Genomic DNA, 15,175 nt, shown 5'->3' with positions numbered 1-15,175 from the left:
AACCCCATTCTGCAACTAAAAATTTAGGTACAATTCTAACATATAAAATAGCTAAAAAGAAGTAGCTCTGGCTTAAGAGAGTTTTAAAAGCTTTACCTATTAACTCTTCTTTCCCTGACCTCTGCTACCCAAGGTAACCCCTTGTCTTAATCTGTTGTGTGCTGCTACAAGAGAATACCTGATACTGGGTAATTTGTGAAAAAACAGACATTTATTTTCTCACAGTTTTGGAGGCTGGAAGTCCAATATCAAGACAGTGGTAGGTTGGGGCCCAATCTCTCTGCTTCCAAGATGATGCCTTGAATACTGAGTGTTCTGAAGGGGAGGGATGCTGTATCCTCACATGACAGAAGAACAGAGAGGGAAAACCCACTTCTGCAGTTTTTCTTATAAAAGCATTTAACCATTCATGAGAGCAGAGCCTTCATCACCTAAACACATCCCATTAGGCCCCACCTCCCAACATTGTTACATTGGGGATTAAATTTCCAACACATGAATTTTGGAAGGAACACATTTAAACCATAGTATCCCTGAAACACCACAGTTTAGGAGCCACTGATAATTCAGCATCTTCAAGGATCCAGAGGTCCAGAGTCACTGACCTAAGCAATGGAGCCCATTAGAGTCTAACTTTCACAATGGCTGGAATTGCTTCTGTTTTGTTCATTGGCTCCCTCATGCATAGAACAGTGCCAGGCACACAGCAGATTCTCAGTATCTATTTGGCGAATGAATGAAAGAATACAATATCTAGTAATTGAACACACATTTTTATCATTTTTCTGACCATGATATTTAAGTTTTAGGTTACTCATTTGTCAGATGAGGTTTGGATTAGATGGTCTCTAATATTCCTTCTTTCTAAACACAGAGCATCCTGTAATTGAAATTCTGTTGTGGTGTCACAAAGCCAATGTTGAAATTCAGTGTCTACAACACCTGAGACTTGGCTGTGACCTTCAGTTTTCATCATATAGGAGTTAGTACTTTTGCAGTGCAGATTATGTTCTGTTAAAATATTGGTTTCAATTTTAGTAACAAAATGATATTCACTGGTTTTTTTTTTAAATTTAAACCATAGAGAAAGGTACAGAGGAAAGGAAAGTCCTTCCCTCTGAATCCTTCTCTCAGGAAATAGCCTTCTTTACTTATTTGGTTTGTTTCCTTTCTAGCATTTTAGTGTGCACAGAGTGGTTACTCTTAGACATCTATCATATCAGAGATCTTTAGATTAACTATATCAACAGTCGTTTTGCTGATTGAAAAACAGTCTCAGGAAAAAATAAGATAAATCCATTAATCTAAAGCAATTTCTATCCAAATTAAAGATGATTTGGAAAAAAAATAAAATGCCAATGAATCACTCTTTATTATAAAAGAAAAACATTGCTTTGGCCTTTACTTATAGAAATACACAATAAAAAATGTAAAAGTCACTCAGAATCTCAATATTCTAAATAGACTACATTTTAAATGGTAACTTCCTCTATGTTATGGCTCGAATGTGTCTCCAAATTTTATCTGTTAGAAACTTCACTGCCAAAGCCACACTGTTGGGAGGTGGGGTCTAATGGGAGGTGCTTAGGTCATAAGGGTTCTGCCCTCAAAAATAGACTAATGCCACTATAAAAAGGACCTGTGGTAGTGGGTTCACTCTCTTTTGCCCTTCTTCCTTTCGCCATGTAAGGAACAGCAAGAAGGCCTTCACTAGATGCTAGCACCTTGAAATTAAACTTCCCAGTCTCCAGAACTGTGAAGGAACTCATTTCTCTGCTTTTAAAATTAGTCAGTCTCAGCATAAAACAGACTAACACAGAAATTTGTACCAGGAGAGGGGTGTTACTATAACAAATATCTAAAAATGTGGAAGGAACTTTGATACTGGGTAATGGAGAGAGGCTAGAATAGTTTTGAAGTGAATGCTGAAAAAAGCCTTTATTGCCATGAATGGAGCATGGAGGGTGATTCTGGTGAGGGCTCAGAAGAAAAGAAGAGCTGTAGGGAAAATCTGAATCTCCTTGGATATTATTTAAGACGTCATGACGAGAATGCTCATAGAAAAACAGACAATAAAGGTCATTCAGATGAGGTCTTAGATGGAATGAGGAATGTCTCATTGGAAACTGGAAGAAAGGCCATTCTTGTTACAAAGTGGTGAAGAAATTAGCTAGCCAGTCACAGTGGGGCATACCTGTAGTCCCAGCAATTTTGGAGGCCAAAGTGGGTGGATAGCTTGAGGCCAGGAGTTTGAGACCAGCCTGGGCAACAAAGTGAGACCTCCTATCTACAAAAAATACAAAAATAAGCCAGGCATGGTTGTGCACACTTGAAGTTCCAGCTACTTGGAAGGCTGAGGGAGGAGAATCACTTGAGCCCAGGGGCTGGAGGTTGCAGTGAGCTGAGATTGTGCCACTGCACCCAGCCTGGGCAACAAAGCCAGACCCTGTCTCAAAAAAAACAAAAAAGAAAAGATAAAAAAAAAAAAAGAAATTGACTAAACTATGTTCCTGTTCTAGAACTTTGTGGAAGGCAGAACTTAACAGCATGAATTAGGATATTTGGCAGATGAAATCTCTAAGAAGCAAAGCATAGAGAGTGCTATGTGACTTCTCTTAACTGCTCATAGTAAAATGTGAAAACGGAAAAATGATTTAAAGATGAATTTATGATCAAAAGGGAAACAAAACATAGAGATTTGGAAAACTCAATCTGGCCATGTGAAAAACTAAAAATAAAAAAAAATATTTGGGAAGGAAAACCAAGGATGTAGCTAAGCTACCATTGGATGAGAAGAATAGAAGGAAGGTGGGTGCTATTTATAAGACCCACCAATTCTCCAATGGGAGAATGACCCCAAAGGCATTTTAGAGATCTTTGAGGCTGCCCCTCCCATCACAGGCCCAGAGTGCCAGAGCCTTGAGGACAGAATGGTTTGGAGGAAGGGACCTAGGGGACTCACTGGACCACAATGTTCACTGCCCAAGGCTGCTTTAAGTCCCTGCTCCCCACATTTCAGCACAATGCTCCTCAGTCACTCTAGTTGTGGCTCAGGGTCCAGGTGCGGCTTGGGCACTAAGCCTTGGTAATATCTAAGTGGTGCTAATTCTGTAGGCATGCAGAGCACAAGAGCTGGGGAGCCATGACTTTCTCCACCTAGATTTCAAACGATGCCCAGCTCTCTGATTTCTCTATCTCTCTTTCTTACTGTAAAATCGACATTTAAAAATAAAAGCAAAAACAAAATATATGTCACATTTTTTAATCCATTCATCCTGAGATGGACAGTTAAGTTGATTTCATATTTTGGCTATCATGAATAGTGCTGCAATAAACGTGGGGATGCGGATGTCTCTTCAACATACTGATCTTATTTCCTGTGGGTATATACCCAGTAGTGAAACTGCGAGATCATATGATAGTTCTATTTTTAATTTTTTGAGGAAACTCCTTACTGTTTTCAAGAATGGCTATACTAATTTACATTCCCACCAACAGTGTATAATACTTCCCTTTTCTCCATATCCATGCTGACATTTGTTATTTTGTGTCTTATTGATGATAGTCACTCTCACTAGGGCGAGGTGATATCTTATTGTAGTTTTCATTTGCATTTCCTTGATGATTAGTGATGATGAGCATTTTATTTTTTTTATACTTGTTTGTAATTTGTATGTCTTATTTTGAGAAATGTTTGCTCAGGTCTTTTGCCCGTTTATTAAATTGGATGATGTATTTTGCTATTGAGTTGTGTTCCTTATAGATTCTGGATATTAACTACTAGGTTCCTGTTAGATGCATAATTTGAAAATGTTAATATTTTTTCCTATTCTGTAGATTGTCTCTTCTCTCTGTTGATTGTTTCCTTTGCTGTGCAGAAGCTTTTTTGTTTGATATAATTCCATTTGTCTATTTTTGCTTTTGCTGCCTGTGCTTTTGGGATCTTATCCAAAAAATCCTTGCCCAAACTAAAGTCATATACACAATGGAATACTATTGAGCCATTAAAAGAATGAAATGTTGTCATTTACAACAATATGAATGAACCTAAAGGACATTATGTTAAGTGAAATAAGCCAGACATAGAAAAAAATATGCCTGATCTCATTCATATGTGGAATCTAAAGAATCTCCTAGAAGTAGAGAGTAGAATATTAGTTATCAGAGGCTGAGAAGGATAGTGGGGAGGGATAAGGAGAGACTGGTCAACAGGTACAAAGTTACCCATTGATCAGAGAAATAAGATCTGGTATTATATTGTACAGTAGGGTGACTATGGTTAACAATATTGTATATTTCAAAATAGGAGAAAGATTTCAAATTTTTTCACCACAAAAAATGATGACCATATTAGTGATGAATATTCTAAATGCTCTGATTTGATTATTACACAATGTATATATGTATCAAAACATCACACTGTACCCCGTAAATATGTATAATTATTATGTGTCAATTAAAAACAAAACAAACCAAAATACTTAAAAAGCTAAAATCGTCTATAATCATAATACTGAGTATTAGTCACTATTAACATTCTGATACATAGGTACATGTACATGTGTACATGGATATGTTTCTATGTTATATGTATATACATCCTCTACGTAACTGGCATGTAGAACATGTTGCATTTTATCCTTAGGCTATAGCTGACATTTATCATCTCCTTCCTTCACCACCCATTCTAGGTTTCCCTCATTCTCAGTCAGGTGGTTGAGTTATCCAAGCCTTCATAACCAGAGGGTCTGAGCACTTGTTGGACTGTGCTTACTGCAGCTTCTCATTTACAATTACCACTGCACCTGAGAGTACCAAGAGATTCCTGAGCCAGAGATTACGATTTCCAACTTCCAGCTCCTCAAGGTAAGCAGGATCAATAACTCCTGCAAATATAGTAACTTTACTGCTTCCTTGCCCACTGGTGTGAGAAGTCCTAAATAACCAGATGGTTGTCATAGCTTAAAGTTCAAAGTAACTTTTGCTGAATAGTGTTGTCAAAGTTCCAATAACAGGAACCTGAATTTCTAATCCAAAAAATTCTAAATTCATAGGGACAGAAAACAAATTATTCAAGTAGGTCTCTAGCAGTTTTGGTAAGAATACGTAATCCTATTTTCATCCTTGGATCTCAACTCATGTATTCTAGTTGCTTGGGGACACAGCAGTGTATGGTGGCCTTTATTCAATGAACATGTGGCATTTTGGAAGACAGCTGTCAAACCATACAGGGTGTCATTCATACATGCTCCTTTGTTGCTCTGCTGCTCTTATTATTAAATATCAGGGCTGGTTTTCAGCATGGTTTCCCCATGGTTATAGGAGATTAAGACTATGAAATGGTTCCATGGAGCCCAAATGACTTTCACAGTGCATCTTGAGTTGATAGTTAATTAGCCTGAGACTGTTAAATTTTTTTCCCAAAGCTTCTAAAGCCTTTGGTAAAAAGTAGTTAACTTCACAATTCTTATAACTACCATTGTCCCTGTATCATTTACCTAACCTACTACCATATGAGCCAATGCTTTGCCTTCCACTTCCATGTTATCCCAGTCCACCATTGCTGAGCATCTTGGTGATTGGGAAGCATCCACTGCCAGGGATTATCTTCATCTACTGACCACTGGCCAAGGGATCCTGACTGCTGTCTGATCAGTGAGTGATCCAGGTCTAGAATCCCACCCTGAGAATCTGATATTTACATCCATTTCTTGTACCAGCTGTTTAGGCTGTGTTCCTCTTAAGAAGAGAGCATAAAACAAGGGCCCTTTTGCAGGCAGCCTATTTTGAAAAGTGATCCCAGGGATTAGGAATGGGGAGTGGAAGACTGAGAAGACTGAAACAGAGAAAAAGGGAAAGATAATAGGAGAGTGGATTATTGACCTTGTCACCCCATGGAGCCCCATTCCTCTGTGGAGCCTGCAGAATAGTCTTCAGCTTGATCCACCTGAGGACAGACAAGGGGGTCAACTGCCGCTACATGTTGCTTCAGGCTATTAGAATCCCTAGTAATTAAATTCTCCCCCTAGACCATTCCTGAACAGCATAGTCTAAATCTTCTATCATCAGCATCTCACACAATACTTTGAACACAGAAGGTACTTAATAATAAATATTTATTGAAAGAATGAATCCATTAATGTGCTCTGCTCTACAGTTATTCTGAGCAGAGAATGGAGTTACTGAAATGCACAGTGTACATTGTCTTTCTCTTGGGTAAACTATAAATATTAACTTATGCCTTTTCCCCTTTTAACAAAAAAGTATCAAATTTATTCTCTACCTCTTGACCAGAGCTACACTGATGAAGTGGGCATTTCAGTGTCTTCCATACTTATTCTCTCTACGCATTTGGGCAAGTTGTTTAATTTCTCCGTTTCAATGCCTATAAAATGCTGATAGTTCTAGCAGCTGCCCTGCATGACTATCATGAGAATTATAGATAACAAGCCATGGAAATTTGCAAATAGGTACATGTTCCCAAAACGACGCACTTTGTTCATAATACATAAGAGTAACAAGAGCACTGTTTAGGCAGGGGAAATACTTGTAAGTATCTCACAGCTCCCACATCATTCTGAGTACATATTATCAGAGGCAATGCTGAAAATATTTAACAACTCTCTGACCTGGGCATTGATTAAACAGAGTAGTCAGTAATTATTAACCATCATTATAGCTATACTGGTGTGTGCAGGCTGAATATAAGCAAGCAACTCCTTCAGAACATTCCCAAAACACAGGACTCCCCTGGTTCCCTCCTAATCCCACTCCGTATCTGCAGGTTTACCACATCGTGGGATGGTTCAGGATCGTGCATAACTCTATGAAGGCAGATTCAGATGGAGAGAGGCTCCTGAATGGTTGATAACAGAGAAAGGATAGTTGCTTCTGAGCAATAGCATTGATTATGGTCAGGGGGAGCCCACAGAGGCCACTCTTAGGCATTCTCCTTGCAGTTTCAGGGTATCAGGTGTGTACTGCTATTGAGAGGACATAGGTCTCCTTGCCCATGACACCATCAGACCCACCTGGAGTCCACACCTCAATTCTGCTCCCTCAGCTGCCCAGCAGCAAGCACGGGAACTCCCACCTCCCCCTTATATAAGAGCCAAATGTCGGGGCAGCTATCAGGCTACTGCCACGACAGTCTGACTGCATGGCTATCAGCTGAAGAGGAAAAGGTTCTTTTTATTATTAGGTTGTTGCCAAAGTAATTGCAGTTTTTGCCTTTACTTTCAACAGCAAGAACCACAATTACTTTTGCACCAACATAATAACTGTTGTGGACTGAATGTGTGTGTTCTCCACACAAATTCGTATGTTGAAATCCTAACCCCTAATATGATGGAATTGGAAGGTGAGGCCTTTGGGAAGTAATTAGGTCATGAGGGTAGAGCCCCTGATGGGCTTAGTGTCCTTTATAAGAAGAGGATGCAAGTCAGCACTCCCTCTCAGCTCTCTTTGCACCCTGTGAGGATACATCTGGAAGGCAGCTGTCTGCAACCTGAAAGAGAGCCCTACAAGAACCTGACCATGCTGGTACCTAGACCTCAGATTCCTACCCGCCAGAACTGTGAGAAATAAATTTCTGTTGTTTAGAAGCCACTCAGTCGCCTGTAATCCCAGCACTTTGGGAGGCCGAGGCGGGCAGATCACGAGGTCAGGAGATTGAGACCACCCTGGCTAACATGGTGAAACCCCGTCTCTACTAAAAATACAAAAAAATTAGCCAGGCGCAGTGGCGGGTGCCCGTAGTCCCAGCTACTCGGGAGGCTGAGGCAGGAGACTCACTTGAACCCGGGAGGCGGAGCTTGCAGTGAGCTGAGATAGCACCACTGCAGTCCAGCCTGGGCGAAAGAGCAAGACTCCTCAAAAAAAAAAAAAAAAAAAAGAAGCCACTCAGCCTATGGTAATTTGCTATAGAGGTTTGAACCAAGACAGGAGGCACAACAGTGACTACCATAGAAAGCTTACAGACATCTGATTTTGGAATAGGGACAAACTTTTATCCACTGCCTCAGTTGATGAAACCAATAGCTAAAGTGTAACAAATTCCTACTCCATGATTGCAGGATCAATGGGTGCATTTGAAAAGGGAATGAGAAAACTCTTTTGCATAATCTTTTTGCCTTTCTAAGTTATCAATCTTCAAAGCTGAAAGTATGACCTTATAAATTTGAATCCCTGAAGACCATTCAAGATCCATGCTGCTGTATTTTCTAATTCTCCTCCCATGAAGTTTATCTCATCAAAAAAGGTGGTTTTGCTTTGCATTTCTCTACTGACCAGTGATGATGAGCTTTTTTTCATATGTTTGTTGGCTGCATAAATGTCTTGTTTTGAGAAATGTCTGTTCATATCCTTCACCCACTTCTTGATGGAGTTGTTGGTTTTTTTCTTGTAAATTTGTTTAAGTTCTTTGTAGATTCTGGATATTAATCCTTTGTTAGATAGATAGAATGCAAAAAATTTCTCCCATTCTGTAGGTTGCCTGTTAACTCTGATGATAGTTTCTTTTGCTGTGCAGAAGCTCTTTAGTTTAATGAGATCCCATTTGTCAATTTTGGCTTTTGTTGCCATTGCTTTTGGTGTTTTGGTCATGAAGTCTTTGCCCATGCCTATGTCCTGAATAGTATTGCCTGGTTTTTCTTCTAGGGTTTTTATGGTTTTAGGTCTTATGTTTAAGTATTTAATGCACTTGAGTTAATTTTTGTATAAGGTGTAAGGAAGGGGTCCAGTTTCAGTTTTCTGCATATGTCTAGCCAGTTTTCCCGGAACCATTGAATAAATAGTGAATCCTTTCCCCGTTGCTTGTTTTTATCAGGTTTGTCAAAGATCTAGATGTGTGACATTATTTCTGAGGCTTCTATTCTGTTCCGTTGGTCTATATATCTGTTTTGGTACCAGTATCATGCTGTTTTGGTAGCTATAGCCCTTATAATATAGTGTGAAGTCAGGTAGCATGATGCCTCCAACTTTGTTCTTTTTGCTTAGGATTGTCTTGGCTATACGGGTTCATTTTTAGTTCCATATGAAATGTAGAGTAGTTTATTCTAACTCTGTGAAGAAAGTCAGTGGTAGCTTGATGGGGATAGCATTTAATCTATAAATTACTTTGGGCAGTACGGCCATTTTCATGATATTGATTCTTCCTATCCATGATCATGGAATGTTTTTTCATTTGTTTGTGTCCTCTCTTATTTCCTTGAGCGGTGGTTTGTAGTTCTGCTTGAAGAGGTCCTTCACATCCCTTGTAAGTTGGATTCCTAGGTATTTTATTCTCTTTGTAGCAATTGTGAATGGGAGTTTACTCATGATTTGACTCTCTGTGTGTCTATTATTGGTGTATAGGAATGCTCGTGATTTTTGCACATTGATTTTGTATCCTGAGACTTTGCTGAAGTTGCTTATCAGCTTAAGGAGATTTGGGGCTAAAACGATGGGATTTCAAAATGTGCAATCATGTCATCTGCAAACAGAGACAATTTGACTTTCTCTCTTTCTATTCAAACACACTTTATTTCGTTCTCTTGCCTTATTGCCCTGGCCAGAACTTCCAATACTATGTTGAATAGGAGTGGTGATTTGTTTTGTTCTGATTTTCGAGGGGAATGCTTCCAGCTTTTGCCCATTCAGTATGATATTGGTTGTGGGTTTGTCATAAATAGCTCTTATTATTTTGAGATATGTTCCATCAATACCTAGTTTATTGAGAGCTTTTAGCATGAAGGGGTGTTGAATTTTATTGAAGGCCTTTTCTGCATCTATTGAGATAATCATGTGGTTTTTGTCATTGGTTCTGTTTATGTGATGGATTATATTTATTGATTTGCATATGTTGAACCAGCCTTGCATCCCAGGGATGAAGCTGACTTGATCGTGGTGGATACCCTTTTTGATATGCTGGTGGATTGAGTTTGCCAGTATTTTATTGAGGATTTTCGCATCGATAGTCATCAGGAATATTGTCCTGAAATTTTCTTTTTCCCTTGTGTCTCTGCCAGGTTTCAATATCAGGATGATGCCAGCCTCATAAAATGAGTTAGGGAGGAGTCTGAGAGGAGCTATTAGAGCTTTACAGGTAGGCGATTTTTACAAATCTTTGACTGGTAAAAAATTTTGTTTCAACATTTTTTATCACATACTTGAGCAAATAGGTGTTACAGGGAAGTTGTCTAATCTTATTTGAAGAGCTCTTTAATCAAAAACTCTTTAATATGAATTGCATCAAGTTCCTATTTAGAGGTTACACAAATTAAAAGTTTACAGCAATCACTAATACTTTGTATCTTATTTTTCTAATGCTACAATAAAATGTAATAAAAATTTCCCAAGCCCATTTAGATACTCTCAAATCTCTCTCAGTTTACTTCAGCATTCTGCAAAATGTTTTGATTTTTATTTATCCCTTAATGGGAAGTGGTGTGGAAGATTATCTTATGGGATAGTTTTGAGGCTCTACTGAGAAAATTTATAAGAACATGCTATGTAAGTAGCAACTTTTATATAACACTTATTAGCCACCCTCAACACAATTTCTTCCCTCCTCAACAGTCCAGTTGAGGCTTCAAATACTTCATCAATATCTGCCTTGTTAACACACACACACAGTGGCACACAGAAGCACACAGGGGCATACACTTTTATTCAAAATATCGTGGAAGCTGGAATCTTTCTGAGTTGAGTAAACAGAAGGCAATTCCTACCAATATGATTGCCCCAAAAGACATGGTCTGAAAAATTCCGCAGGCCAAAACCTGGACAAATACAACTGCTTCTTTAGTTTATAGCTTCCTCTCCCTTTTTTTTTTTTCTTGATAGTGAAAACCTTTGTGGTCACTATGTCCATTCAGTTTTATCTTCTTAAGGATGTGTTTTGTTTAAGTTTCTAGAGATCAGGAGCAAGTTTGAGAACTCTGGAAAAAAGTATATATCAGTTGGATAATGTAGATTTTAACCTTCTGTCCCAAGAGAATCAAATAATTTACTCTTACTTTTCTGGGTCTCTACAAATTAGGTGAAGACAACAGAGCATTCTAATCACAATTTCCATTTAAAACACAGGGGCACTAAAGACATTGAAGAGACAATATAGCATACTGGCTCTGTCCATTCAGTATCTAAAATGTGCACCGAATCCACCCCCTTTTTTAAAATTCCATTCTCTCTCTTCTCTGATGTAACCTCGGTCTAAGCCATCATGATCTGTTACCTGAAGTACAGTTGTCTCCTAACTGGTCTCTTTGCTGTGGTTTCCATATTTGTGTCCCTGCTAAAATTCATATTGCTACTTAATTCTCATGGCTGGTGGTGTTAAGAGGTGAGGCTCTTTGGGCGGTGATCATGCCATAAGAGCCCTACCTTTATGAATAAGATTAATGCTTTTATAAAAGAGGTGCAGGGGCAATAGCAAAGACTTGGAACCAACCCAAATGTCCATCAATGATAGACTGGATTAAGAAAATGTGGCACATATACACTATGGAATCCTATGCAGTCATAAAAAATGATGAGTTCATGTCCTTTGTAGGGATATGGATGAAGCTGGAAACCATCATTCTCAGCAAACTATCGCAAGGACGAAAAACCAAACACCACATGTTCTCACTCATAGGTGGGAATTGAACAATGAGAACACTTGGACACAGGAAGGAGAACATCACACACCGGGGCCTGTTGTGGGGTGGGGGGAGGGGGGAGGGATAACATTAGGAGAGATACCTAATGTAAATGATGAGCTCATGGGTGCAGCACACCACCATGGCTCATGTATACATATGTAACAAACCTGCACGTTGTGCACATGTACCCTAGAACTTGAAGTATAAAAAAAAAAGAGGTGCAAGGGAACTGTTTGCTCTCTTTTTTGCCCTTCTGTCCTTTCTGCCATGTGAGGACATAGTGTTCATCTTGTCTGGAGGAAGCAGGGTTCAAGGCACTATCTTGAAAGTAGAGACCAGGCCCTTACCAGACACCAAACCTTCTGGCACCTTGATCTTGGACTTCCAAACATGCAGAACTGTGAAAAGCAAACTTCTACTATTTATAAATTACCCAGTCTATGGTCATTTATAGCAGTGGGCATAGACTAAGACATCCTCTCTTGATTCTTTACAATGTATTCCCCATATAATAACCAGATCACTCTTAAAAATAAAAACCAGATTATATCAGTCCCCTGATTAGAATCCTTCAATGATTTCCCACCTTGCTTGGAAAGCAATCCAAGGTGATTACCGTGGTTTACTAGGTTGGATGAGATCTGGCTCAGTGAGGTTGCCCTTTGTCTGCTGCTCTATGCTTAATGTGCTTCAGCCACACTGGGCTGATTACTGACTCTTGTCTGCCCAGAGCCTTCATACTTCACAGCGTGTGCATTTGCAGTTCCCTCTGCCTAGCATCTCCTCCCTCTGACCCTCACACAGCTTCTTCCTCAGCAGCCAACTCTCCTAGTACAAAGAATTTCCATGGCCATCCTGATTAGCGTAGCCCTCTAGCACAGGCCCCTTTCACTATAAAATTGGTTTATTGCCATAATGGCACCATTTTTAGCACTCAGTCCAAACTATTTTGTTTAACTATTTGTTTCTGAATTTATTGTCTAACTTCTCCAATGAAAGATAAACTCCTTGAGAGCAGGCAACTTGTCCTCCTTTCTCACCACTGAGTCCCCAGCAGCTGTGAGAGTACACGGCCAGTAGTACTCATGCAATAATTATTTGCCGAATGAAGGAAGGAATGAATGAATGAAGGGTACAATGCCAAGCACTCTGAAATGGTTATAATAGCTTTTTGGGTCAGAGTTTCCCCTGCTGGAGAGACAGAAAGAAAAGGAGTAGAAATTGCTAAAATGTATGCTATTGTGAAAGAAAATGGAATTTTTGAAACCCCAAAATCACTATGCCAAAGGAAATGTTAAACTGGGGACTGGGTCACACAACGTTGCCCTTATTTCTTTCCTTCCCCAAAAGAGAGCTGTAATTTCACAACCCTGTGTCATAGCCTCATCCATAAGCCAGGTTCCTGCAACTAGGGAAGGCCACATATCTCTCCAGATGGCCTTCCTCACAAATTACTCACAAGGAAATTCCTTATGGTCCCTAAATCTTTCAGGATACATATTCTATCTATAAACTATCCCTAAAACCAAGTTCTGTTGAATCTCACCCTGAAATTGCCCATTACCAGCTTATCTTCACAGGTACAGGACAAGGATGAGAAGAGAAATCATCCTTCTGCCTACCCTGAGATGGATGCATAATTGACTTTTTCCTCTACTCCCCTTATGCAGATTTACTGAGGCTAATCAGAGCCTCACAAGAATGTAAGCATTTGCCTCACTGCTTCCCTTCCCTTCCCTCTCTTTTTTTCCCTTCTGCTTGCTCTTTCTCCTTTAAATACTGAAGCTCCTGAAACCCTATTCGGAAAAGCACAAGTCACAGATGCTCCTGTGGCCTGTGTTTTTCCCTCAAACATTGATTACAGTAATCTCTATCCATTGAGACATCAGTCTCAGTCACTTTCTGGTTAAGACTATCAAATGGTGACACTTCACCAGTGGGAAGTAGAGCCTGTCAAGAGAAAAGAAGGTAAAGAAACATTTTTATGTTCACTCTACTAACAGTCAAGCTGGGATCCAAATCTGAGGCTTTGAAATGCATTGTCTTTTTGTTGTACAGCACTGGCTGTAAGTGGCCAGGTTTCTTTCACTTAAGACATTGTCTTATAGCATAGTGATTTATATTATTCCACAATTATGTAAAATGTCATCAACTCTCAATGGATTATTCATGGTGTTTGAGAACCATATTAATTTTAATAAATATTATACTTTTCTTCCTGTGAAATTATTTCAAGTGATTTGCCAAACCATGGGTCAGTATGCTTATTCCCTGATGAAATAAGGCTATATCTGTAGTAAATTTCCTATATTCTGGACCACAAAGACATGTGATGAGAAGATGGGTAAAAAAAAAAAATGCGTTTGATTGGAAATAAGAAACTAATTCTGGGAAACAAATTTAATTGCCTGATTGGAAACTATCCCAGATTTTTAAAAGTTACTCTTTAAAATAAAAGGATGCTCTAAGAAATTAGATGGCTGTGTATAAACCATGGATGATTTCACCTGTCATCTCAGGAAGGACAACCACTGTTGTGTAAGAGGTAAATACACTCCCTTCAACTGTGAAGTTCTTAATTCAGAATCACAGCCAAGCAAATGGTGTCAAAATCTACAAATGAATCCAAGTACTCACTGGGCAAGAATTGTCTTTATGTGTTCTATTGTTCGTATTATCAGCTCTTGTCAGTTCTATTGTGCCAAGTATTTTGCCAAGTGCTTCTGATATCATCTCATTTTGTTCTCATGGCAACCCTATTCTCCTATTTAATCTACTAAGAAACGGAGTCTTAGAGAAGTGAATTGACTTGCCCAAGGTCACATAGTTAATAAAAATCAAATTTTAAAAACCAAACTTTAAGTGGTTCCATTATACTCCCTACCTTTGAGGAGCACTGTAGTATGCCGTGTTCTCACAGTTGAGGAATGTGCCGAATCTTTTAAATGGAAAAAAAAATCTCATAGCTAGTTCATTTTTCTGCTAATGTTGCTTATTATAGGCAAAAACAGAAATCTAGTATATGTTTCTTATACTTACAGTTCATATGAACTCGGGGACTGAAGTGGCCATTCAAATATTCAACAAGTGCTGATAGTGTTTTAGTATATTGAAATGAATTTAAAAATTTTAAAAATGTTTAGAGAACTTGCAGACCTCAAAAGTATGTCCCTGGACATCCCAAGAACCTGCGGATTCCAATTTGGGTAACATCTTCAGCTGATCTGTTGGAATTGAAATGACAACATTACTGATTCATTAACTGTGTAAATTGGGTACAAGTTACTTAATTCTCTGTTTCTCCATCTATAAAATGGGAATAAAAAGAATGCTGCTCTCCTAGAGTTGTGAGGATTGAATGACAATGTATGTAAATTGCTCAACCCATAAGGTAGTTTAAGTGAAAAGCTCTATGAATATTTTCTGTATTATTCATATGATTATTAGGTAATTATGGTATGCTGAGTGAGGAAAGCAGAGATGCAGGCAACTAAAATTACCCAGGGAAAAGTACTTTGTATCTTTATATACAAAGTGCTCTTTGAACATAG

At 38.8% G+C, this 15,175-nt stretch overlaps 1 long non-coding RNA gene across 1 annotated transcript in view; it reads left to right on the top strand.

The window, feature by feature from the left end:
* The window catches only part of STK32A-AS1 (STK32A antisense RNA 1), a 57,897-nt gene that overhangs the window by 28,089 nt on the left and 14,633 nt on the right, over window positions 1-15,175 (top strand). Inside the window, exon 2 of the long non-coding RNA NR_147190.1 lies at window positions 4,692-4,866. This is a non-coding gene — a long non-coding RNA (STK32A antisense RNA 1). The remainder of the gene's footprint in view (window positions 1-4,691; window positions 4,867-15,175) is intronic.

Source organism: Homo sapiens, chromosome 5, assembly GCF_000001405.40.
Source record: "Homo sapiens chromosome 5, GRCh38.p14 Primary Assembly".
Lineage (NCBI taxonomy): Eukaryota > Metazoa > Chordata > Mammalia > Primates > Hominidae > Homo > Homo sapiens.
Note: the sequence above shows the minus strand (reverse complement) of the source record. Positions and strands in the feature narration are given on the sequence as shown.